Raw genomic sequence first — 27752 nt, 5'->3', positions numbered from 1 at the left:
GAGGATAGACAGGGGGCAAAATGGACCCATAGCTAAGCTCTGAGGTTGTCCAGTTCTTGAAGCCTAAAGACAGGGAAAGCATGATCGTCAGTAAGCTACATTCTCACAGCTTCAAATCCACCCTCTGATATTCCACTTTGTGATGCTGGAGGTAAAACCCTAGAAATAAAATGTCCTCTTGGCTAGCTGTTTCCTTTTAGGTTCTACCAATAGAAGGCACAAGAAGAAAACTGTAAAGGTGGAGGGAAGAGAAGGACTCTCTACTGAAATACCTAGCGTGGTTCCTATGTTCCATGACTGATGTAGGGAGCCATCAAAGTGTCCTGAAATGAAAGAGAAACAGAAAAAACAAGTAAATGTGGCTTAGAAGCCACAATGTTGGCTATATTAATTTGCATCACTCCAGTAACCATTTTATTATCTACATGTATCTCATAACATCATGTTGTATACTTTAAATACACACAATAACAATTATTTTAAAAAGAAAATGTCTCAGGAAATTAAATTAATGTGATTAGGAGGAGAATTTAGGTTCAGAGTTCAAAAACAAGCAATCTATTGACTTTTAACTAAATGCGGACTGTTGAAGGCCTTTACTATAGATATTTAATGGATTTGTTTTCTAAGTAAGGGCAGGAACATTACACTCTGACTCATTCTACCTGCCTTAAAAATTGGCATAACATGTTTTGCATTAGCTTTGGAGCTGCTTTTTAAAACAAAACAAAACCTAGAAATATAACTGACTGAGTCATTTATTTAATACTTTATCTTCAAATATGTTTTATATTTAAATAATTACACATATGAAAGAGATAAGACATAGCAGTTAGATACCCATGAACTCACCACCAGATTTAAGAAACAGAACATTTTGTATATGAAAATCGGCAATTGTATCCTTCTCTCTCCCACCTACAGGTAACTACATTCTCATATTCCTAATTTTTGTATTTACCACAGCTTTGCTTTTCTACACAGTTTTAATATATGTGCATATCCTAATATTTTGTTTACTCTTATTTGTTTTGTTTTGTTTTTAATTTACAAAAGTTATATTGTTCCAAATGGGTTCTTCTGGAGCTTCTTTTTTCTGGAGATACATCTAAGTAATATATTTCTTTTTTGCTGTAGTATTATAATATTTCTTTGTATAATCATAACATATTTTCATTTGCCTCTGAATTGATATTCATTTACAATTTCCTGATATTACAAATAACACAGCTGTGAAGGATCCTCGTGCCTGGCTCCTCTTGCATGTGCACAAGGTGCTCCCATTCTGTAAGAAATGCTCAGGGCATACGGAAAGGCTAATCTTCAGTTTCACTAGATAATACCAAATTTTTATCGCTTCTCGGCCTTTTGGCTAAGATCAAGTGATAATGCCAAAGTTTTCTCCAAAGTGGTTTTACCAAATCAACCTCCCTTCCACAGTATATAAGAATTAGCATTGCTCCACATTCTTACCAGTTATTCGCATCATTTGACGTTAACTTTTGCCATTCAGGAAGATATAAATTATATTGTATTTAATACATATTTCCTAGATACTACTGAGTTTGGATATATTTTCATATTTTATTAGCTATTTGCATTTCCTTTTCTGTAATCTATTTGTATCTTTTGTTCATTATTTCATGCTATGGAATTCTTTGTTTAAATTATATTGAGTTTGGGGAGTTCTTTGCATTTTCTGATACTAATATTTTGTTAGTTATATCTATGAAAAATAATTTCTCCTAGTTTATAACTTGTCTTTTCTTCCTCTTTATGTTCTTCTTAATCTTACTGCAGTCAATCAAGTTTACAGTTTGTGTTTTTTGTGTCTTGATTAAAAAATGTTTCTCTAACTCAAATTCATAATGTTCTCATATTTCTTATTAGAAGTTTTTTAAACACTTCCTGTCTGATTAAAGTATTTAATTCACTAGAATTTATCATTGTGAACTGTATAATTAATGAATCTAATTTTATTTGCCATATAGACAATCAACTATCTCAACACAATTGTTTTAAGTTGATATCTGTTTTATTATTTTCGATTCGGGGTTACATGTGCAGGTTTGTTACAGGGTATATTTTGTGATACTGAGGTTTGTGCTTCTATTGATCCTGTCACACAAATAGTGAACATAGTACACAAAAGGAAGTTTATCAAGTTTTGCTCCCCTCCCTCCCTGTACCCTCTATTAGTCTCAAGTGTCTGCTTTTTCCCTTCTTTATGAGCATGGGTGTCCAATGTTTCGTTCCCACTTCTAAGTGAGAACGTGAAGTATTTGGTTTTCTGGGTTTTTGTTTATTTGCTTAGAATCATGGCCCCCAGCTGCATTCATATTGCTTCAAAGGACATGATTTTGTTTTTTTTACGGCTGTGTGGTATTCCATGGTGCATATGTACCACATATTTTTTTTATCCAGTTTACTGTCGATGGGCACCTAGGTTGATTGCATGTCTTTGATGTTGTGAATAGAGCTGAATTGAACATAGGAGCGGATGTGTCTTTTTGGTAGAATAATTTATTTTCCTTTGGGTATATATCCAGTAATGAAATTGCTGAGTGACAGTGTAGTTCTATTTTTCGTTCTTTGAGAAATCTCCAAACTTTTTTCCACAGAGGCTGAACTAATTTACATTCTCAACAATAGTGTGTAAGCATTCCCTTTCCTCTACAGCCTCACTAGCATCTGTTATTTTTTGATTTTTTTATAACAGCCATTCTGACGGGTGTGAAATGGTATCTCATTGTGGTTTTGATTTGCATTTCTCTGCTGATTAGTGATCATAAGCATGTTTTCATATGTTTGTTTGTTGCTTGTATGTCTTCTTTTGAGAAGTACCTGTTTATGTCTTCCCCCACCTTTCAAGGGGTTATTTGGAGTTTTTTATCGTTGATTTGTTTAAGTTTCTTTTAGATTCTGGATATTAGTCCCTTGTTGGATGCATAATTTGCAAATATTATCTCCCATTCTGTAGCTTTTCCATTTATTCCATTGATAGTTTCTTTTGCTGGGCAGAAGCTCTTTAGTTTAATTAGGTCCTACTTGTCCATTTTTGTTTTTGTTGCATTTTTTTGAGGACTTAGTCATAAATTCTTTCTTTAGGCCAGTGTCCAGAAGAATATTTTCTAGGATTACTTCTAGGATTCTTATAGTTTGGTCATTTAAGTCTTTAATCCATCTCGAGTTAATTTTTACATATGTGAGAGAGGAGGGGCCAATCTCATTCTTCTGCATATGGCTAGCCAGTTTTCTCAGCACCATTTATTGAATAGGGAGGTCTTTCCCCATTGTTTATTTTTGTCACCTTTGTCAAAGATCAGTTGGGTGTAGTTGTGAGGCTTTATGTCTAGTTTCTCTATTCTGTTCTATTGTGTGTGTGTATTGTTGCACCATGACCATGCTCTTTTGGTTTCTGTAGCCTTGTAGTATAGTTTGAAGTCAGGTAATATGATGCCTCTGGCTCTGTTCTTTTTGCTTGTGATTACTTTGGCTATTCAGGCTCATTTTTGGTTTTATATGAATTTTAGAATTGTTTTTTCTAATTCTGAGAAAAATGGTGTTGGAAGTTTGACAGGAACAGTGTTGAATCTGTAGATTACTTGGGGCAATATGGACATTATAACTATATTGATTCTTCCAATTCAGGAGCATGAAAGGTTTTTCCATTTGTTTATGTTATCTCTTATTTCTTTCAGTGGTGTTTTGTAGATCTCCTTGCAGAGATCTTTTACCTCCTTGGTTAGATGTATTCCTAAGTATTTTATTTTTTGTGTGAGCATTGTAAATGGGATTGCCTTCTTAATTTGGCTCTCAGTTTGAATTTTATTGGTATATAGAAATGCTACTGATTTACGTAAATTGATCTTGTATCCTGAGACTTTACTGAAGACTTTTATCAGGTCTAGGAGTCTTTTGGCAGAATCTTTAGGATTTTCTATGTATACAATCATACCATCATCAAAGACAGATAATTTAACTTCCTCTTTTCTAATTTGGATGCCTTTTATTTCTTTCTCTTATCTGATTGCTCTGGCTGGGACTTCCAGTACTATGCGGAATAGGAGTGGTGAGAATAAGCATCCTTGTCTTTTTCCAGTCCTTAAGGGAAATGCTTCCAGCTTATGCCCATTCAGTATGATGTTGGCTGTGGGTTTGTCACAAGGGCTCTTATTATTTTGAGGTATGTTCCTTCAATGCCTACTTCGTTGAGGGGTTTTGCCACAAAGGGATATTTGATGTATCAGATGCTTTTTCTGTATGTAATGAGATGATCATATGGTTTTTGCTTTCAGTTCTGTTTATGGTGAGTCACATTTATCAATTTGAATATGTTGAACCAACCTTGCTTCCCAGGAATAAGGCCCACTTGCTTGTGGTGAATTAACATTTTAATGTGCTGCTAGATTAAATTTGCTAGTACTTTGTCGTGGATTTTTTTTTTCTTTTTTGAGACGGAGTCTTTCACCAGTTCTTTCACCAGGCTGGAGTGCAGTGGGGCGATCTCGGCTCACTGCAACCTCCACCTCCCGGATTCAAGAGATTCTCCTGCCTCAGCCTCCTAAGTAGCTGGGACTACAGGCGTGCACCACCACACCCAGCTAATTTTTTTGTATTTTTAATAGTGACGGGGTTTCACTATGTTAGCCAGGATGGTCTGGATCTCTTGACCTCAGGTGATCTACCCCCCTTGGCCTCCCAAAGTTCTGGGATTACAGGTGTAATCCCCACCCCCAGCAAGGATTTTTTACATCTATGTCCATCAGGGATATTGGCCTGTAGTGTTTTTGTTTTGTTGTCTTTGCCAGATTTTGGTAGCAGGATGATACTGGTTTTCAGTAGGATTGGTACCAGCTCTTCTTTGTATGTCTGGTAGAATTAAGCCATGAATCCATGTGGTCCAGGGCTTTTTTTGGTTGGTAAGTTTTTATTACTGATTCATTTGCAGAGTTCATTATTTGTTCACAATTTCAATTTCTCCCTAATTTAATCTTGGGAGGTTGTATGTTTCTAGAAATGTATTCATTTTCTCTAGATTTTCTAGTTTGTGTGCATGGAAGTGTTTGGAATAGTCTCTGTGGGATCAGTTGTAAGTTGTCACTTTTGTCCTTTCTGATTGTAGTAATTTGGATCTTGTCTCTTTTTTTGTTAATCTAGCCATCAGTGTTTTGTATGTGCTTTCAAAGAATCAGCCTATTGTTTTATTGATCTTTTGTGTATTTTTTATCTCAATTTTATTTAGTCCTGCTCTGATTTTAGTTAATTCTTTTCTTTTGTGGGTTTTGGTATTAGTTTCTTCTTTTTTTTCTAGTTCTTCTATGTGTGATGTTAGGTTGTTATTTTGAGATCTATCTTCTTGATGTAGATATTTAGCACTATAAACTCTCTTCCAAATACTACTTTTGTAATTTCTCAGAGGTTTTGGTATGATGTGTCTCTCCTAGAGACCTTTTACCTCCTTGTTTAGATGTACTCATTTCAAAGAGTGTTTTGCTTTCTGCCTTAATTTTGTTGTCTATCCAAAACTAATTCAAGAGCAGGTTGGTTAGTTTCTATATAATTGTGTGAATTTGAAGTTCCTATTGATATTGATTCCTATTTTTACTCCACCGTAGTCTGAGAATAGGCTTGATACGATTTCTTCTTTTTAATCTATTGAGGCTTGCTTTATAACTAAGTATGTGGTCAATCTTAGAGCATGTTCTGTGTGCAAATGAGAATAATGTATATTCTGTGGTTGTTGGGTGAAGTGTTCTGTAGATGTCTATTAGGTCCAATTGGTCAAGTGTCAAATTTAAATCCAGAATTTTTTTGTTAATTTTCTGCCTCAGTGATCTGTCTAATGCTGTCACTGGGGTGTTGAAGACCACACTATTATTGTTTGGCTCTCTAAATCTTTTTCCTAAGTCAATAAGTAATTGTTTTTTGAACCTGGGTGCTCCAATGTTGGGTGCAGATATATTCAGGATAGTTAAATTTTTCACTGAATTGAACTCTTTATCATTGTGTAATAATGCCCTTCTGTGAGAGCACTCTCCCACAACAGTTTTTTGCTGTTGTTGGTTTAAGGTCCATTTTAACTATTACAAGAGTAGTGACCTCCTCTGCTTTTTCTTTTATTTTTCATTTGCATGATAGATTTTTTTCCCATCCATTTACTTTGAGCCTATTTGGGTCATTACATCTGAGATAGGTCTCTTGAAGACAGTAGAAAGATTAAGATTTTTTAATCCAATTTGCCACTCTATATTTTTTAAATGTAGTGTATATGCCATTTGCATTCAAGGTTAATGTTGATATGTGAAGCTTTGTACCTGTTGTAGTGTTGTTAGCTAATAGCTTTGTGGTCTTAATTGTGTAGTTGCTTTATAAAGCATGTGGACTATGTGCTTACATGTGCTTTTGTGGTGTCATTCTTTTGCTTCCATGTTTAGAACTCCCTTAAGCACCTTTTCTAAGGCCAGTTTGGTGGTGACAAATTCCTTTAGTAATTGCTTGTCTAGGAAAGATTTTATTTCTCTTTCATTTATGAAGCTTATTTTGATGAGAAATGAAGTAATTGGCTGGCATTTATTTTATTTAAGAATGCTAAAAATGTGCCCTCAATCTCTTCTCACTTGTAAAGTTTCTGCTGAGAAGTCTGCTGTTAGTCTGACAGGTTTTCCTTTATAGGTAATATGGCCCTTTTCTCCAGCCACCTTAAAGATTTTTCCCTTTGTGTTGACCTTGGATAGTCTGATGATTATGTACCTTGGGGATGCATCTTGTATAGTATCTTACAGGAGTTCTTTTGATTTCTTGTGTCCACATGTCAACCTCTCTAGCAAAACTGGGGAAATTTTCCTGAATTATATCTTCAAATATGTTTTCCAAGTTGTTGAATTTATCTTCTTCTCTCTGGAATGACAGTAAGTGGTAGATTTGATCACTTTACATTATCCCATATTTCTCAAGGGCTTTGTTAATTCTTTTGTTTCTTTTATCTTTATTCATGTCTGACTGGGTTGATACAAAGGATTGGTCTCAGAGCTCTGAAATTCTTTCTTCTGCTTTCTCTAGTCTGTTGTATTTTGAAATTCCTATAGTAAATTTTTCAATTCCAGAAGTTCTGTTTGATTCTTTCTTAATATAGCTATGTCATCTTTCAAATCCTGATCATTTTTCTGTTTTCTTTGTGTTGGATTTCAGCTTTCTCTTGGATCTCATTAGGTTTTCTTGCCTCCCATATTCTGAGTTATGAATCTGTCATTTCAAACATTTCATTTTGATTAGGATCCATTGCTGGGAAGCTATTGTGTTCCTTTGGAGGTGACAAAACACTCTGACTTTTTGTATTTTCAGAGTTCTTGCACTGGTCCCTTCTTATCTGAGGGAGCTGACATTTCTTTTTTTAATTTGCTATCATTTGGATGGGACTTTTTGATTTTTTTATCCTTTTTTCTCTTGAGGGTATGACTGTGGTGTATGTTGTATATGATTGATAGGCTTCATTTCTGAGTACTCTCAGAGGCCCACAGCTCTATATGGGTTCCTTGGTTTCAGAGAGTTTACCATGTTGGCTTTCTCAGACATTGCTTGGTGTAGGAATATATTTTTGCTTGATGGTGTAATACAGGCTGCAGTCCAGTGCATGGGACTTAAGAGTAAGAGACAGTTGGAGACTTACTCTGCATCTATTCACCCTCAGTCCAGATGGGGGTGCTAAGGGAGAAGTCAAAAATCACCCTCCCCCCAGCACAGCTGGTGTTCAGCAGAGGTGGAGCAACTGGAAAAGCCCAATAAGTGCCTCTTTCAGCCCACACTCCTAGAAATCTAATGAGAAGAGCTGCTGCCACATCCACAACAGTGCATTTGCCAGGAGGGCTGGGGTCAAGAGATGACCCCCACTCCAAGTCTGTTCCTGGCCTTTGGTTTTGCACCCTTTAGCAGCTGGTGCTGTGCTCTTGTTTCCTTGGGCTTTGGTGGGTTTTGTTCCCCCCACACCCTTAGGGGCTGTCCTCACAAGGATTGGATCTCAAAGCAAATGGGATCTGCCTCCCTCCCTCTCCACAGAGCTGGTGGAGCACTCTCCCACAAATGATCAAGGGAGCAGACTGGGGTGCCCAGCAATGACACATGCAGACTGGTTCCATGTGGCAAAGCTGTCCCTGACTCCAAGTCACACCACCCAGGAGAATCATCGCTTTATCTCCCATCTCTCTCTCTCTCTCCCATAACTCTCCTCCCATTCCAGTCCTGCAACAGGAAAGAGCCCAATTCCATGCCTACTGCTGGGGCACTCTCCACATTCGCCACTCAGTTCTGACTGTGGGGGTCCTTCCCCTGCTACACAGCAAGCACTCTAATCTTTGGCCGAAGACTAAAATGTCTGCAGTGGCCACCATTGCCAAACATTGACTGTAAGATCCCAGATTAAAAATGGCGTCCTTCTCTCAGTCTATGTCTGGGAAAATGCCTGCAGATTTTCCTAGTTATCTTTCCCTCTCTGTGTCTTTCAGCCCTTCCCCATGCTAATTCCTGGGCTTGGGAGAAACAGGGTGTTCTCCCTTGGCCTGGGTTGCACCGATCCCTAGTGAAAAGTGAGAGCCACACCGGGAGAGTGGCTACTCCTCTCATGTACTGAGGCTTCACTCACTTTGTAAGCGAAACACCGTAGAGTGGCTGCTTTGCCACCTTCTCTTCACGAGGTTTGATGTGTCCTTCACTATCCTGGTGAATTTCCATTTTCCTTCTTGAATTAAGTGTCATAGAGTTGATCTTTACATGCTATTTGGCTATTTCCAAGTGGCTGAGGCACACTGAAAGCTACGTATATTGCTTCTGATTTTAAAGGAAACAGTTCTAGATTTTTATAAGTGAATAACTTACATGCAATCAGTTATTGATAGATATCCTTTATGAGATTCAGGAGCTTCCATCTATTACTAGTTTTCTAGGGATTTTATTACTGACTACATGTGAATAGTACGGATAGATTCTCTGTATCTATTGACGTGTTTTTCTCCTTTAGTCCTTAATGTGGTGAAATACAGTAACAGGTGTTCTAATGTTAAATTATCCATGCTTTCGTGGATAATTCATATCAGATATGATACATTATCTTTTTATATATTAAGAATTTATTTGAAAAATTTTTCAGACTTTTGCTCCCAATTCATGAGTGGGATTGGCCTATAATTTTGTTTCTTATACTGTCCTCACACGGCTTTGTTATTATTCCTATAAAATAAGATTATATTCTCTAATGGAATATGTATACTCTTAGAATTGTCTGTTACTTAAGTATTTGGTAGAATTCAAATGCAAAACTGTCAGTCTTTTGTTGTTGTTGCCGTTGTTTTTGTTTTTGCATTTTCAGTGTAGATATTTTTTAGTCTCTGATTTAATTTTGTTAATTTATTTTTTCCTTTTTGACTCAATTTTAATGAATTCTACTTTCTAGTAATTTTGCTTCCTTTTTCAAGTTTATAAAGTACCATTGTGTGACCTTATTAATTTTTAATCTCTATTATATATTTTGGCATGCCCTCCTTTTTTTATTCTTAATACTGATTTTATTTCTTTATTCAATCTTTCTGAACATTTTCAAGTGAGTTTTTAAAAAACTAACTATGCATTGTATTTCTTTTTTCTTTTTCTTTGTCTGTAGTTTGATATTCACTTTCAAATTTCTTAAGTTGGATTCTTAGTTTATAGATTTTCAAATTTTCTTTTTTCCTAATATGAGCATTTAAACTTTCAAGTTTCTCTTGAATTACCGCTTATCTGCATTTTACAAACTTCAATATTTAGCGGTTTCATTTTTCCACTCTAAACATTTTCTAATATTTATTATGATTTTATCTTTGACCTAAGTCAAATTGTGTATATTAGAAGTGTGTATTTTTCATGTCTAAACATGTAGGGCTTTTTCAGTAAAAAAAAGTTTTTATTGTTGAAATCTAATATAATTGCATTATTGATAGGAAATATGATCTGTGTACTGATCATTCTTTTACATTTGTTGAGGTTTGATTAATACCCCATTACATGTACAATTTTGGTAATTATTAATGTATGTTTGAAAAAATGTGTAGTTTCCAATTACTGAGTGCACAGTTCTGTTTCTCCATTAAATTGAACTTGTTAATTGGGCCATTTGAATCTTCTGTATTCTTGCTATCTTTGCCCCTTTGTCATCTGTTTGACCTTGTACCACCAGTTTATACAACTCTAGGGGAATTGTTTACACAGAGCTTTGTTCTCAAGTGACTATGCATCAAAATCGCCCATGAAATTTTTATTTTCATTTGTTTACTTATTTATTTTTTAGAGACAAGGTCTCACTTTGTTGCCTAGGCTGGAGTGCAATGACACAATCATAGCTCACTGTAACTTCAAACTCCTGGGCTCAAGCAATCTTCCTGCCTCAGCCTCCTGAGTACCTGGAATGTAGGTGTGTGCCATCACGCCCAGACAACCCCCATAAAGTTTTTAAAATGCAAACACCTGTTACCTACCCCCATGCTGATTCACTGTCTCTGAGGTGAGGCCTAGAAAACAGCATTTGTAAAGGCCCCATATGATTATAATGAACAATCAAGATCAAGAAGCCCTATTTTGGGTCTGGTGCGGTTGCTTATGCCTGTAATCACAGTACTTTGGTAGGCTGAGGTGGACATATCACTTGAGCTCAGGAGTTTGATACCAGGCAAAACCCTGTCTCTACAAAAAAATACAAAAATTAGCTGGGTGTGGTGGTGTGTGCCTGCAGTTCCAGCTCCTCAGGAAGCTGAGACAGAACAATCACTTGAGCCTGGGAAGTGGAGGTTGCAGTGAGGCGAGATCACACCATTGCACTCTAGCCTGGGTGATGCAAGTAAAACCCTGACCAAAAAAAAAAAAAAAAAAAAAAAAAGCCCTATTTTTATGTTTGTGAGATTACTCTTGATTATACTCCTACTGATGTCTTGCAAAATAAATTCTCCTATATATTAAGAGCCAGCCCTCTCTTAAATCTATGCAATAAACAAGATTATTAAACACTTCAAGACAGCTATGGGCTAATGTGATTTGTGACCCTTTGTGACCTCCTAAGAATACCAGCAAAGGGAAATCTAGTCTAGAACAACCACAGCATACAATACCTAGGCCTGGGTCCTCGGAAGAGTAGCAGGAGAGTCTCTCCAGTTATGGTACCTTACTACTCTTGTTAGATATTTATAGAGAAACACAGGACACTAGTTTGCCACGGGATATCAGAAAAGATTCTTTAACAAATACTCAGGAAGGGAGTTGAGCATAAGTAATCTGGTGTAGTACAAGGGCCCGCAGCAATGAAATCACCTGAGAGCTTGTTAGAAATACAGAATCTCAGGCCCCACCCTAGACTTCTGAACCAAAATCTGCTTTTTAACAAGATCCCCAGATAATTTGATGTATATTCTAGTTTGAGACACACTTTAAAAATGCAGACAGATTCATGTTTCTAACAAGCTCCCTGATGATGCCAATTCTTCTAGTAGAAGGACAAGCTTTACATAGTAGGGTTTATATTACCAGAAGTTAAACAGAGGGAGGAAATCCTTAAAACCATTCAGGGATGCCCATTTCCTATTACCAGCACCAAAAAAAAAATGCTATGTGGGCTTCGGATGTTTATGAAACCCAAAGAGCACATCCTCCCACAAATTTAACATAATATGGAAGGGTACAGAATGTTGTCTTTGTCAACCAATAGAGAGATTCAAATACCCAAGGGAAGAATGCCGAAAACAATTAGAATCTCTCATCTTCTTTGTTGATTTCTCTACACAAGACAGTCTGCTCCTGCCTGTATGCCTCAAATTCACAAATTCTCCTCTGCAAATGTTCATGGGCAGGTTGCAGCTTTCTGCCCTCTGTGCTTTTCATTACTGTCATTGGACTGTCTGTTATCTTAAGCAGCCACAGCTGTGGAAGGAATCCATGGAGAACATATTTTCCTATTGAAATGAGCAACATGTTTTTAGTTTGTTTTTTAACAGTTGAGCAGCTTGCACACAGCCTACACTCACATCCCTGCCTGGTTGATCCTAGGTCTGCCCATCTGAGCTGCATTTCTGAAAGTCAAGCTGGTTTAGAGGTCAAGCAAAGCAGAGCCTGGACCTTCCTTGGAGCAGGTTCAATGCTCATGGTCCTCACTGTCCTTTTGCTGAAAAACTCCCTATCACTCTTGGTAAAGCTGAAGCTTATCTCTCAGAGTGTGTTCAGGAAGAGCTCTGTGATGGTATTCCTGGAGTTTTGAATATTTAAAAAAAAATTTTAAAGTTCTGATAGCTTGGAGAACAGTGTATTTGGACATAAAGGCTTTGGCTATCACTTTCTTTCCTTCTGTTTCTTGAATTCATTTTTCCTCTTTCTTCTTGCTTTGCAGGTTGCTGGAAAGCATTCTGATGCCAAAATGATTTTATTTCCTTTCTTGGCTGTATGATCTTTTTTGCCTGGGGGCCCAGAGGATATTTTTTTATCCTGACCTTTAAATTGTAAAAGTTTCACAAGGATATATCTCAGAGTTGAACATTACTGGTTCACTTTCCAAACATACAGGGTAAAATATTGATATACAGATAAGGATCTCTTTCATTTACAGACTTTTTAAATTACAGTTGTAAATATTAGTTTCATTTCATATTTTGTCTTTCTGCTTCAGAGATTCCAATAATAGGTATTTTGGATCTTCTTTGCCTGTCTTCCATTTGTATTTTTTTCTGATCTTTTTAACCACTATCTTAATTGTATTTATTTCTTATTATTCTGTTTTATTATTTCACTTCATTATCCCATGGAAACATATTATTTATTCTTCATTTCTTAGACTGTCCTTTTCTTACAAATTCTGTCCTGAAGTTGATCAGTTCTTATTTTACTTCTTTTTCTTTTAACATTTTTTGGGTCATTTTTCTTCTGGGTTTTTAATTTTAACTCAAAGTTTTACATTTGGAATAAAGAAGCTCTTTAATATCTGCATATTCTTGTTTAATAGTATTTAATTTTTGTTAGAGTATTATGTTACAGTTTTTTTGTTTCATTTTTGTTTTAGAGAAATGTTTTATTATCATTTATTTAATGATATTGCATCTCACTTTCTATTTTCTATTTATGCTTGTATGACTTTCTGCCTTTTTTCTGCCATTCTTTCCTTTTAAAATGTCTTCTATTTTTCTAGATCAGCAACTGATCCCCCTCTAGATGGGAAGATTAAAAACTTTTAGAGAGGCTACTAGGTTTTCTAGTTCAAGAGCATCCTTCTCTCTTGGTACAGAGAGAATTTTGTTGGAGATAAAATCATGAATGAAGAAAGTTAAAATGTCTTCTGATTCATCAGTTCTCTTTCTTTTTGATAGAATTGTGAATTCCCTCTACCTGCTTCCTTCTTCGTTTACCACCAACCCACCCAGAGATGCTTCTCTCTTTCTAGCTACCACCTCTTCCGTAGAACAGGGTCTTCCAGGATTACCTCTTTGGTTCTGAACATTTTCAAGTCTGTTTATTTAAATTATTCAGTAATCAGTACTCCAACTTATGAGGACTCTGACCTGTTTTATATTTTCTCACTCATGGTGAAATCCTCTTTCTGGAAATAATGTTATCAGTGTCCCTTGCCACTGTGACCTGCCGCACTCGACTCTTTCCTATTGATTTTCTGCCTGACTGTCCACACTGAGCTGGGCTCCAGAGCAAGCTCTACTGTGGGTGTTTATTCCCCCATTTGCATTTAATTCTGTCTCTGAATTGTGCTTCTAAATAATGCATGGGTAAAAAAAAGATCGAAATGGGAAATTGGTAGTTTAAAACTGAATGATGATGAAAACACAACATATCAAATTACAGCCATGATGGAAAACAGTATGGAAGTGCCTAAAGAAATCAAAAACAGAACCACCATATGACCCAGCAATCCTTCTTCTGGGTTTATACCGAAAGGAAATTAAATCCTCCCACATCATAAAGATAACTGGACTCCTGTATTCATTGCAGCATTATTCACAATAGCCAAGATGTGGAAATAGCCTAAATGTCTGTTGAGGAATTAATGGATAAAGAAACTGAAACTCTAATATATATAAAGAATGAGACCTTACCATTTGCCACATCATAGATAAGCCTGGATGACATTATACTAAGTGAAATAGTAAATAAGCTGGACACAGAAAGAAAAATATTGTATGATCTCATTTATATGTGGAATCTTTAAAAAAAATTCAAATATGCAGAGATAGAGAACAAAACAGTGATTACCGGGGTGGAGATGGAAGGAGGTTTGAAGGAAATGGGGAGATGGAAGTCAGAAGATACAAAGTAACAGATATGTAGGATGAACAAGTCCCCAGGTCTAATGTACTGCATGAGGACTATGGGTAATAAAATTATACTGTATTTGAGATTCATGCTAAATGAGTGGATTTAACTGTTCTTGACACAGAAACAAAAAAAAAATGGGAACTATGTCAGATGATAAATATGTTACTTTGTTTCAATAGTAACCAATTTACTATCTATATGTATACCATAATGTCATGTGGTATATCTTGACTATACAGAGTAAAATTTATATTTAAAGGCAGTTTATCATTAAACACTGATATTTTAAAATACGAAAGTTCTCAATTCAATGATCACAGCTTCTATCTTTTTTAAAAAAAGAACAAATTAAAAACAAAATAATCTAAGTAAGGAAATCATAAAAACTAGAGTTAAACAGTGAAATAACTGAAGAACAACAGAGAAAAAAACTAGTGAGCATAATACCCAATAGACAGTCTTTCAACTCACACTCCTCTCCCTCTCTCCCGTCTCTCACAATCTCCCGTGTCTGTCATTCCCATCTTTATGTCTATGTGTGCTCCCACTTATAAGTGAGAACATGCAGTATTTGGCTTTCTGTTCTGGTATTAGTTCACTTAGGATTATGTCCCTCAGCTCTATCCATGTTGCTGCAAAGGACATGATTTCATTCTTTTTTATGACTGCATAGTATTTCATGGTGTACACTGGGCACTATGTTCACTATGTGGGTCCAGTATTCCCATGTAGCAACCCTACACTAGTATTCCCTGCATCTAAGGTAAAAGCTGAAATTTAAAAAATTAAAGAACATACCAAAACAGAGATATAGATCAATGGAACAAACAGAGCCCTCAGAAATAACGCTGCATATCTACAACTATCTGATCTTTGACAAACCTGACAAAAACAAGCAATGGGGAAAGGATTCCCTATTTAATAAATGGTGCTGGGAAAACTGGCTAGCCATATGTAGAAAGCTGAAACTGGATCCCTTCCTTACACCTTATACAAAAATCAATTCAAGATGGATTGAAGACTTAAACGTTAGACCTAAAACCATAAAAACCCTAGAAGAAAAACTAGGCAATACCTTTCAGGACATAGGCATGGGCAAGGACTTCATGTCTAAAACACCAAAAGCAATGGCAACAAAAGACAAAATTGACAAATGGGATCTAATTAAACTAAAGAGCTTCTGCACAGCAAAAGAAGCTACCATCAGAGTGAACAGGCAACCTACAAAATGGGAGAAAATTTTTGCAACCTACTCATCTGACAAAGGGCTAATATCCAGAATCTACAATGAACTCAAACAAATTTACAAGAAAAAAACAAACAACCCCATCAAAAAGTGGGCAAAGGACATGAACAGACACTTCTCAAAAGAAGACATTTATGCAGCCAAAAAACACATGAAAAAATGCTCATCATCACCGGCCATCAGAGAAATGCAAATCAAAACCACAATGAGATACCATCTCACACCAGTTAGAATGGCAATCATTAAAAAGTCAGGAAACAACAGGTGCTGGAGAGGATGTGGAGAAATAGGAACACTTTTACACTGTTGGTGGGACTGTAAACTAGTTCAACCATTGTGGAAGTCAGTGTGGCGATTCCTCAGGGATCTAGAACTAGAAATACCATTTCACCCAGCCATCCCATTACTGGGTATATACCCAAAGGACTATAAATCATGCTGCTATAAAGACACATGCACACGTATGTTTATTGCGGCACTATTCACAATAGCAAAGACTTGGAACCAACCCAAATGTCCAACAATGATAGACTGGATTAAGAAAATGTGGCACATATACACCACGGAATACTATGCAGCCATAAAAAATGATGAGTTCATGTCCTTTGTAGGGACATGGATGAAATTGGAAATCATCATTCTCAGTAAACTATCGCAAGAACAAAAAACCAAACACCGCATATTCTCACTCATAGGTGGGAATTGAACAATGAGATCACATGGACACAGGAAGGGGAACATCACACTCTGGGGCCTGTTGTGGGGTGGGGGGAGGGGGGAGGGATAGCATTGGGAGATATACCTAATGCTAGATGACGAGTTAGTGGGTGCAGCGCACCAGCGTGGCACATGTATACATATGTAACTAACCTGCACAATGTACACATGTACCCTAAAACTTAAAGTATAATAATAAAAGAAAAAAAAAATTAAAGAACAAATAATAACTCAAGCTTTCACCTTAGCAAATGACAAAAATAAGCACACTAAACTCAAGGCAAGTAGAAGAAAAAAAAAGACTAAAAGCTTATTTGAAAAAGTCAGTAAAATTAATAATCTTCTAGGTAGACTAGCCTGAAGGGGAAAGAGGAAGAAGACATAAATTACCAATTTTAGAAAAGAGGAAGATAACATCACTATATGTTTTAAAGGGGTAATAAATATTTTGACAAGTTATTGCCAATGAATCCAATGACTTAGATACAAGAGAGAAAATCCTGCAATGACACAAGCTGCAAAAACCCACTCAAGAAGAAATAGATCATTTTAAAATTCCTGTATTTTTTTAAAAAATTCAATTTGGAGGAATTTTAACATTCACACACACCAAAAAAAAAAAAAAACCCAAGCACTAATGATTTCATTTTATCAAACCTTCAAGGATGAAATCATGACAATTGTGCACAAACCCTTCCAGAAAATTGAAGGAAAGAGAATACTTTCTAGCACATTCTATGAGGTCAGCAATACTCTGATACCAACACCAGATAGAGACATTATAAGAAAAACAAAAGTTGGACACCAATATATTTAATAAATTTATATATAAAACTTAACAAAAATTTGAGTAAAGCAAATGCAATAATGCACAAACAGGAAAATGTGTTATGACCAAATGAGGCTTATCACAGGAATGCAAGGTCTATTCAAATTTAATATCAATTAATGTGATTCACTGTAATAACAGACTTACAAAAATTATCTCAACAGATGAAGAAAGAGCATTTGGCAAGAATCAGCATTTATCCCTGATAAAAACCCTGTGCATAGTAGGATAGAAATGTTTTCAATAGGGCAATGAAGTGTACTAAAAACCTACAGGTAATATCATACTTAATGCTGAAAGACTGAAAATTTGTCTAAAATTAAAAACAAGGTAAAAATGTTCACTCTCATCACTGTTTTTCAAAATAGTGCTGAAATTTCCAGCCAGTACAATAAAACAGGAAAAGGAAATTAAAGGCACCCAAATTAGAAAGGAACAATTAAAATTATGTCCCTCTGCAGACCTTGTCTATTTGATATTATTCAGGAGGCTCTAGCTAATGCAATAGGTTAAGAAAAAGAAATTAAATGCATCTTGATTACAAAACAAGTAAAAATGTCTTATTTGCAAGTGACATTATGATTTATGTAGAAAATTCTGTGGAGTCTACACAAAAGCTTCTGGAACTAATAAAGGAGATACAAAATATTGCAGAGTAAAAAAAGTTACTTTGCAAAAATCAATGATATTTCTATATACCAGCAACAAACATTGGGAAATTGAAACAAAATATAGCATCACTTACAATTACATCAAAAATATAAAAGTCTCATGGATAAGTCTGGCAAAATACATGTAAACTCTGTGCACTGAAAACTACAAAATTTGGTTGAGAAAATGTAAAAATTTAAATAATGGAGATACATATAGTGCCTTGGAATGGAATATTCAGTATCTTTTTTTTTTTTTGAGACAGGGTCTCACTCTGTCACCCAGCCTGGAGTGCAGTGGCACAGTAACTGCTCACTGCAGTCTCGACCTCCTGGCTCAAGCAATTCTCCCACCTCAGTCTCCTGAGTAGCTGGGACTACAGGTGGGCAGTACCACACCCAGCTAAATTTTCATCTTTTTTTCATAGAGACAGGATTTCACCACGGTGCCCAAGGTGGTCTCAAACTCCTGAGCTCAAGTGATTCACCTGCCTCATCAATATTTTTAAGATTTCAGTTAGTGTTAAATAAATCTGTAGGTTTACTGTGTTCCAAACCAAAATCTCAGCAAACCATTTAAAAGTATAAATTGAAAACCTGTTGCTAAAATGTATATGAAAATGCAAAGGACATAGAATAGCACCCCCCAAAAAAAACTGTAAGAAAGAGTTAGACAAGTAGACTAACAAAATATAATAGTGAGCCTATTATATATATATATATATACATATATATATATGATTCCTTAGATTCAACTAAGAAGCACAATCCAAAATAGAAAAACACATTAAACTGGATTTCATCAAAATTAAGAATTTCTGATCTTCAGAGGATACTGTTAACATAATAAAAGGACAAATTACACAGACTGGGAGAAAAAAAAATTGCAAATCACATAAAGAATCTCCTGTATAATACTGAATTGACAAGTTCTGCAGGTAGACACCTGATATAGAACATGTAACCAAAATATACAAACTCTAATACAGTGAAAAGGAAAGATTTCTTTAAATCTTTCAAATAAAAGACATACAAACAAGATTTTACTACACACCTATTAGAAAGTCTAAGATTAAAAACCTGACCATAACAATTGTTATCAAGGATGTGGAGCAACTGGAACTCTCACACACTTCTGAATGTAAAATGTGAAACACTTTGTAAAACGGTTTGGCAGTTTCATTAAAAAATTAAACATATATCTACCATTCTGCTTCGAGGTATAATAATTTCCCAAGAGAAATTAAAGCATATGTACATAGAAAAACTTGTATATTAGTGTCAATAGTAGCTTTGTTTGTGGTAGTCAATAACAGGAAACAACACAAATATCCATCCACAGCATAAAAGAATTGCTGTATGTCCATATGATGAAATTATATTCAACAATAAAAATGAATGAAAAAACTACTAATATACTACACAATGACACAGATGCATCTCAAAATAATTATGGTTAGTGAAAGAACCCAGATAAAAAACAGTGCATACTATATCATTCCATTTATATTAAATCCCAGAAAATACAGAGTAATTTACAGTAACAGAAAGCAGATCAGTACTTGCCTGGGAATAGGGAGTTGGAAAAGCAGAGGATGAAATGATAAACAGGCAGAAGGTTACCTTCAGGTTTGCTGGATATGTTCATTATCCTGATTGCAAAATGGTTTCTGGATGGTTTCATAGATATATGCATGCATGCACTTATCACATTGTATACTTTTTATATGTGTAGTTGATTATAAATCAAGTATACTTCAATAAAGCTGTTAAAAAGTTTGAAAATGAAATACTACTCATGGTGATATTGTACAAGTAAATAATAGAGGGGATTTAAGTGACGACATAACTATCTGCTGGGACAAGTCAATCTGCACCTACAGTGATTTAGTCAAAGTGGCTAATAAGTAAAATATAACTAGAAAATACAAAGACAAGGCATCTGAAATTTGGATTGATTGAAACAAGCACTATTAATTCCTAGACCTTAGTGTGTTATTCCACCTCTGGAAACGGATTTTGAATCTGTGGGCACAGAACACACATACATAAACTCATATGCCTATATAAATTCCCAACTTTCATGGCAAAGGATACAAATCTTAACAGAAGCATGGTGGTGGCCCCAGGTCAAAAACAGGCACAGGCTGTCATTGTGGGATCTTGAAAAAAATATTTATAAATTTGAGGATTTCCTGCTTCCTGAACCCTATTAAGCAAGAATTGCAATTGCGAACGTACAACATCTTTATCCAGGGTAGAAAGAGGAGTCAGCAGCATCAGTCCCTAGCACTAGCCTTTCTCCAGCTCCCCAGGGACCCAGAAATACCATCCTACAGCTGTGAGAAAACTTCGTCTAATAGCAGCATGAAGTCATCAATGTCTTAGGTTCATTTTTGAGGAAGTTACAATGTCTTATTTGAAAAAAATAATAATAATGCTTAATGTCCCAAGATTAGTGAAGTAAAACACTTAGGAGACCAAAAGTAAAGAGACATTTTTCAAGACTATATATTACATAAAGAAAAAAGATACAAAACATACAATTTATTGATAAGACTCTTGAAATTAACACAGGATTAATGACTCATGCTCAGAGAAACTCCGAACAGGCTTTGGGTAAATTTTCTGTAACAAATAAAATCACACAATATCAATCACTATCATGTGTGCATGAAAGGGGAAATGCCTCACATTATTGGATGAAACTGACAACTTTCAAAAGATGAATGGGTTCTAAGTATGAGTATGTAATATTTATAATGGAAAAATGCTTGATAAATATTTGTGTTCTTTCAGAAGAGATAGTTGTTTTATTAAATGATTCCTTTTATGAAACGAAATATAGATAGAAAAAATATCTTCAGCTTAGCATTGTGAAATTTGGAAGTACAAATCTTCTGTTCCCTAAGAAAATTAGAAAATAATATAATAAAATCACCTCTCTTTGATCAAGAAAAATCTTTTTAAAAATAATGAATTTCCCTTCTAAGGAGAGAAACAGCTTCTGTAACAGGAAAATTGTAAAGAGTCTGAAGTACTTTGTTTGTTCAAGCCCTATGTTATAAATTGCTTTTCTTTGCTGATAAGAAAAGCTAAGAATTCAGAATATTCATGATCCAGGAAGCTAAACAAAAACCTGCTCATGAACTAATCAGGTTGAGACAAATATGTAAAACTAAAATGTGGTTCTGTTCAATCATAAGTGACAAATTCCCTAAGTTGTGTTTTCCTGTCATTCAATATAAAGAGATAAGTATTTTCTTGTCAATTTTACTAATTAAGATTGCTACATCTACAATGCAATCTTTATCTTTCAGTCTTGAGAGAATTGTTAGGAATCACAAAAACGTCTTCAGAGGAAAAGCAGAGCGTGAGTTCAGGAAGGGCCTGTTCTATTTTTCTCTCCTTTCATTTGTATTGCAAAGCCATCGCCAAGTATTTTTCTGTCTTCCATTACCCAAAAAGATACAAACAGCTAGAGCAGATTCTAGTTTAGAGAATGGCCATCAGAATCAGCAATCTTCCTGTTGCCAGAGAGTCAAAAATAATTAAAGGCATTCCTGACAGTATTAAAACCTAAGTATATTTAAAAAAGTATTGTTTAGTGCTTGAAATTCCCAATGGAGCACCCCCTAAGTGCAAAGTCATGTGAGAATTTGCTCTTAAATACCAGTACAGTCTCACTTTGTTTTATTCTTAGAGAAGAGAAGAGTTGGGGTTAATGTTATTTCCTTATCTTGATTCATCTTGAAGAAATTCTGAATCTGATGCTTCCAAGCACTGGGGTACATGCCCTTTTGGTGTTCTACATGAAGGAATGGGCAAGATACAAGATTCTGTTTTCCAGGGAGAAAGACGCTTACATAAGTCTTTGTAATGAAGGATGTGACAAAGTGGCTTTTTCATGGCACTGATAATGCCAGAGAAGAGGAGTGCTAGGACTTCAGGTGGCTCACTCAACTGGCATATCTCAGTGATAGTCAGTTATCTCAAATAGTCTAAACCTAGCATGTCAGGGCTGAAATAGCTTATGTTAGTTTAATGTGGAGAATGAAATTTCCAAGAATTCCTAAGATAACCAAAACGAGGTGTAAGTCATTCAGTAAGGGTCTGATTCTCCCTCAGTGTCTTTTTTCCTAGGGTAGGGAAGAGAATGAGTGATGTCATTTTTGTAAATTACATGGAAATTCTGCAGTAGAATATGACAGAATATATTCCAGGGCTGAGCAAAAACAAGTGAGTTAGGAATCCATTGACCAATTCCTTCTAAACTGGAACTCTGAATTTTCCAGTATTTGAAAGTAATACACTTATTATGAAGGCACTTATTTTGAATACACTTATTATGAAGGCACAGAATTTCTGGATTCAACAAATGTGCTGAGGGCCCACCATTTTCTACATCCTTCTCAATGCACTTACGACACAACAGTGAAGGAAATTAATAAAAATCCCTAACCACGTGGACTTTACATTATACTGTGAGAAGAGGAGAGGAGGATCGAAAGGAGACAAACAATAAGCACGGTAAATAAGCGAAGAAATAGTAAGTTAGAAAATGACAATTTCTATGGTTTAAAAAAAAAAAAAAGAAAAAAAGTCAAGCAAGGTACCAGCAATCAGGGATGTCTGCCAAAGAAGGGTGGTGGGGAGGGTGGATGCAGGTTGCAATTTAAAATAGGGTGATCTGAGCAGGGCACATTAAGAAGGTGACCTCTGAGTAAAGACAAGAAGGAGGTAAGGGAGGTAAGTATGCAGATAACGGGAGGAAAACGGAAGATATGACCAGTGCAGAGACAAGTAGGAGCCTGTCTGAGGGCTGCAGGGGCCAGGGAGATGGAGTGGAACCACTGAGCCTGAAGGCTTCAGGTCTGAGAGGTCACTAAGACTGGACCATTTAGTCTCTCATAAGGACACTGGTTTTAAATGAGAATGAAATAGTGTCATTGCAAGGTTTCTAAAGGGTGGCATGACTGGCTTAGGTATTATTATAGGACCAACAGGTTTGTATGCCTGCTATGCAGTAACAGACCAATTACACTGAGACAGCAGGATTTACATCGGAGAGAGGGTTTAATGATTGCAGGGTACTGAGCAAGGGGAAGGGAGGAGACCCTCAAATCCATCTCCCCAAGAAGTTCTGGGCTAGGGTTTTTAAGGGGATCATGGAAGGTGAGAGGCTGGAAAATTGGGGTTATTAATTCATCACAGTACGGGGAATGAAATTATCAGGACATGGAAACTGCATTCTTAGGTGAGTCAGCTCCTTGTGAGGTCCTAGAGACCAGCAGAGTCAGTAGTTTCATCAGTATGCAGGACCTGAAGGAATAGCTCAAAGATAATGTTTTATAACATTCAAACTGTTACCCATAGAACCGTTAAGAGGGAACTATAATCTAGGATCTATGTGATTCCAGGACAGGAGGCACCAGGCAACCACGAGGAAGCAGGTCAGGGCACAGGCTGACCTAGTGATTAATGCTGAGTGTGCTGCAAGTTGAGTTTAGTTTCATCTCTCCCACTCTCTTCTTCCCTGATTAATTTTATAAAGTTTATAGGGTCAGTTTCAGTATTATATGAATAATTTTGGCTATAGAATTGAAATTATGCAGGAGGGACAGAGCAAGAGGCAATTAGGAAGTTATTGGCATATTCCATGCCAGAGATGTTGATAACTCACCCAAGGGTGATATTAGAAGAGGTGGTGAAAAGTCTTCAACTCTGAATATATTCCAGATGGAGAGCCAACAGCATTTCCCGACAGATTGGATGTCCTGTGTGCGAGAAAAAGAGGAATCAACATGGCTTCATGGCTTCTTTCCCTGAGCAACTGGAAGATCAGGTTTGCCATCAACTGCAACGTGGAAAGTTGCAGAAGGAGCAGGTGGAAAGGAGTTCCGTGTGAGCCTGTTGAGTTTGAGACGCCACTGTGGAATGCGGATTAGGCTGCAGGCTCAGTAAGTCTGCAGTTCAGGACAGAGGCCTGAGCTAGAAATGGACATTTGAGTGTTGTCAGGATATAGATGCCCTTTAATGCCAAGAGACTGAATAAAGGGGTGAGTGTCAACAAGGAGGAGAGAATCAAGTACTGAGCTCAGGGGCATTCCAGCATTAAAAGGTCAGGAGAGAATGAGGAACCAGTAAGGGAGAATGAGGAGATTGACTATTAAGGTAAGAGAAAAAAAAAAAAAAACTCAAGGCATTTGGTGTACCAGAAACCAAGTGAAGTAAATATATGAAAGAGCATAGAGTGATCACTGCAATGAAACCATGCCCCAAACTCCTACTTATTTGAACAGGATGATAACAATATATATAACCCACATTGGTCCTTGTTTCAGGAAACAGAGTCCTGGCTCACTAGACCTAACTAGTAGCAGGGGCCATGTCTGCATGAACAAATCATGTAGTTCAAGATATTCCCATACATAGAACATCAAAGATCAGCCTTGCCTAGAGTTACATTCGTTTGAATACTAAGTACAAGGTACTGGAATACCTTCCATGCAATAGAATCCAATGCTGGCCACCTGTTGAGAGAGAGATATCCCACAGAAAGTTCACATCCGTAATTTCAGCCTTGACTCCCTCCCTTTCCCCACTTTGACTCCTTCCCTTTCCCCACATGCCACTAAGTCCCAGCATGTCTCACATCAAATCCACTCAAGTTATGGCACCAAATACACAGGGGTTGTCTTATCTCTTAATCCCCTCACCAATCCCAGTGCAGCAGAGTCTTAATGAGTGTTTTGTCAAATTGGAATGAATGACTGGTACTTTGATTACCATTTTTCTGTCTACTGCTATGACAAACAAAAAAATAAATTGTACAGGAGGAATCTGGAATTTATATATGACCCCACATGGATAAAGTAAATTCTGCACTTCTATACTGGCCCATGATCAGTGAACTTTCTTATATCGAGGCAAGCAATTGAGGAGAAGCAGAAATGCCCCCAAAGCAGGCCAGCACCCCCTTTGGTGTAAGGTCATTCAGCACCACTGGCTCCTTGACAACAAAGAGTGTCAGTTTCATCTGGAAACCTAAAGGGAGGCAGCCAAGTCTCTGAGATTGATGCCCTTCACACATCCTGAATGACACTTCTGCTGAGTTACCACATAGCCATGATGGAGCCACATCAAACCCATGCTCCTTAACAGCTTGGAAGCTTGACTCACTCTCAATCCAAAAACTCACTTTCATTTTCCTGGAGACAGCACAAAGGTACCTGGAGTGCAGCACATTTCAAAAGTATCAGCCTCAGTCATCTAAGAGAAGCATTTCCGGTCTGTGATTTAGGGACAGGTTGCAAATGTCATTTGCATGGAGCAGAAAGAACTGCCTTTGTTTCATCCCTAACAAAACTCAGTGAAGAAGATCAGTGCTAGGAAAATTGTTGGTCAGAGGATATGGCTGAATTCTAATTTAGTAAAAGGTATATGATCTCTGAGTTCTAGCAAAGGCAAAAAGGAGACAAGGCCATAGGAAAGAAAAATGTCACTTGTGTTTCTCTCAACTAATAGGATCATATAAAAATGAAATAGAGAATAAAAACACAGTGATGTTGATGGATTATGATAAGAATTGAGTTGAAAAAAATAAATGCTTTAAGTCATCCAATTCTCTAAATAACATTGGAAACCAAAGAGTCAAATGTGTTCAAGCTTATCTGCACCAAATCTGGAAATTGTTGGCAAGATTACTAACTGCAATTTCACGATGACATTACGGGGCCCCAAAAGCAATTCTGAAGACAGCTGGTCTCCTTGCAGAGATAATAGATTCAGACATAATCCAGGTTCCTTCAAAAGGTCAATTCAGGGGTCACAGCCAAGATCAAGTTTGTAATTGTTGCAATTTCACCTTCTGCAGCAGAGAGCATCAAGTCAGATGAGGCATTGCTTAAAGAGGAGCAATTTTCTCTATAAAGTTATTGTCATTAGTAGATCTTACAGGTAAGGTGACCAAGCCTTTATTCTTCTTGTAGTTCTAATTTTGTGCTACCATATCAAGTAGTAAATCACAAAATTTAACACTCTAAGCTATTACCATGTTGCCAGCTTTGCAACTTTGCAGTCCTACAAATACCAACTGAAAGACCCATTCATGGCAACATATCTCTTCTTTTCACACAAGAATATTTAGGGGAGTATGTTAGTGAATGCACTTCCTGGGCAACTCTTGCTGTTGGTTTGAGAAAGAGGTGTTCAAACTCTTGCCAATGCTGTGTAGAAGCAGAGCGAATGTTCTAGTCCTTGTGTGTCCTTGTGGTTAGGCTGGGAGACTGTAGCACAATTCTTGCTGACAAGGGTCTCCCTTGTCCATCCAGAAAGGAGGTATTTGCTATGGTCCTCAAGGCAAAATGGGAGGCTTTGCACCTGGAAAATCAAAAAGAAAACTTGTGATCAATTAGTTCAGCTTTCTTATATTATAGGTGGTAAAACTGAAAGCCAGGCTGTACAAATGACTTTCCCAAGATCAGACAGTTAATTAGTGGCTGGGCCCCATGTTAAGTCTTACATTCTGACCATTGTTCAACACTTCCCACTTTAATACATATGATGTGTATAATCATTCTGCCAACCACCATTTGCAGTGTGTGATAATAGAGGAAAGAGCTGTGTGGGGACAGATATCTGATGAGGGCTTGATGTTTCTTCTTTTTACTGTGCTAATTACCACAATTACTGTAACTATACCAAGAAGGGGTTTCTTAGAATAATCTTTATCCAGGGCCACAAAATATACATACTTTGGGAATCTGTATGATTACTGCCCACCGCCCCCCACCGCCCACCGATTCAATCAGTGAGGCCGAGCAATATCTGTGCTTTTCCATATCAATATTGTTAGTTTCTTTGCCACAAGTAGAGATGTGATAATTAGCAGATCCAAACGATAAAATGCAATTTTCAAATATTGCTAAAAACCAAATGTAGTAAAGTTTGCTACATTCTTATGAGCCAAACTTAACTGGAGAAGTAACAACACTCTGGTTTCTGTTGACCTACTTATGATTTGACATTTAAAAGGAAAGTAAAAAGAGTAGGATGCCCTGGGCTCAGAAGTCAAGGAGACACCAGTCTTTGATTCTCAATGTGGGGAACTGGATTTTCAATTGTCATTTGACTGCCTAATGGGTTGGGCAAAGACAGACTTGATTGGAATGGGCTTTCAGCTCTTTGTATGCGCCTGACATTGTTCATGACCACCAGGGCCTCTGTTCCCAGTCTAGTTTGAAAAAGCGTTCCCATCTCACAGTCAGTCATATCCATGATACAAGATATATATGTTTCTTCTGCAAAATACAACTCAAAAATGGCATATTTAGGTAAAAATAAACAAATACATAAACACATACATATCTACATACATACATTCAATTGAAAGCAAATAGTAATAGCCACTCTTGGAACCAGCTTCTCTTTGGAGTGTGGTTTCTGTGTTGACTATTGATTTGTGTTCTTGGGGAGAGTCAGATCCCAGCAGCCGGCCTCAGATGGCAAGTCAGTCTAATATGATTCCTTATTCTTCAGCACGTGACATTTGAAGACAGTGATATCTAATGAAGATTTCTTTCCTAAGCTGCCCCATTAAAAGAAAAGTGCCTACCAGCCAGTCAGCGTAGGTGCACAATTCCAAAGAAGTCTGAGGGATCTAGTTTGAGAGGCAACAACATGAAGGGGCCAGTAGGACCACCCATCCCCACTGTGATGTAAATAAGGGCAGGAGGACTGAAGCGCCTCTTGAACAGCCTGAATGAACCACCATCAGTGACTCTCCTAATTGTGTTTCTGCTAAACACTGGAGGGCCTCACTTTTCTCCTTTAATGTGAAGAAAGAAGGAAAAAAAAAATCTGCCCTGTCAAAGCCACACAAGGGAATTCTCTTAAAATAAACAGCTAAACTTAACGGCAGGCTTTTCTTTCCATGGAAATATTTTAAATGTATATAATGTTAGATGGCTGCTAAAAAAATGAC

The 27752-nt window shown here is 36.7% G+C and overlaps 1 long non-coding RNA gene across 1 annotated transcript; it reads right to left on the bottom strand.

The window, feature by feature from the left end:
- Window positions 1–272: 272 nt before the first annotated feature.
- LOC105378400 (uncharacterized) lies at window positions 273–27445 on the bottom strand. Its single transcript, XR_946150.2, has 4 exons — window positions 27149–27445; window positions 25479–26149; window positions 23451–23544; window positions 273–323 (listed from the first exon to the last, which is right to left on the bottom strand). It is a non-coding gene; the product is annotated as an uncharacterized LOC105378400 (long non-coding RNA).
- Window positions 27446–27752: the final 307 nt, after the last annotated feature.

Source organism: Homo sapiens, chromosome 10, assembly GCF_000001405.40.
Source record: "Homo sapiens chromosome 10, GRCh38.p14 Primary Assembly".
Taxonomy (NCBI): domain Eukaryota; kingdom Metazoa; phylum Chordata; class Mammalia; order Primates; family Hominidae; genus Homo; species Homo sapiens.
The sequence above is the reverse complement of the archived record's forward strand: the minus strand, read 5'-3'. Positions and strand labels throughout refer to the sequence as shown.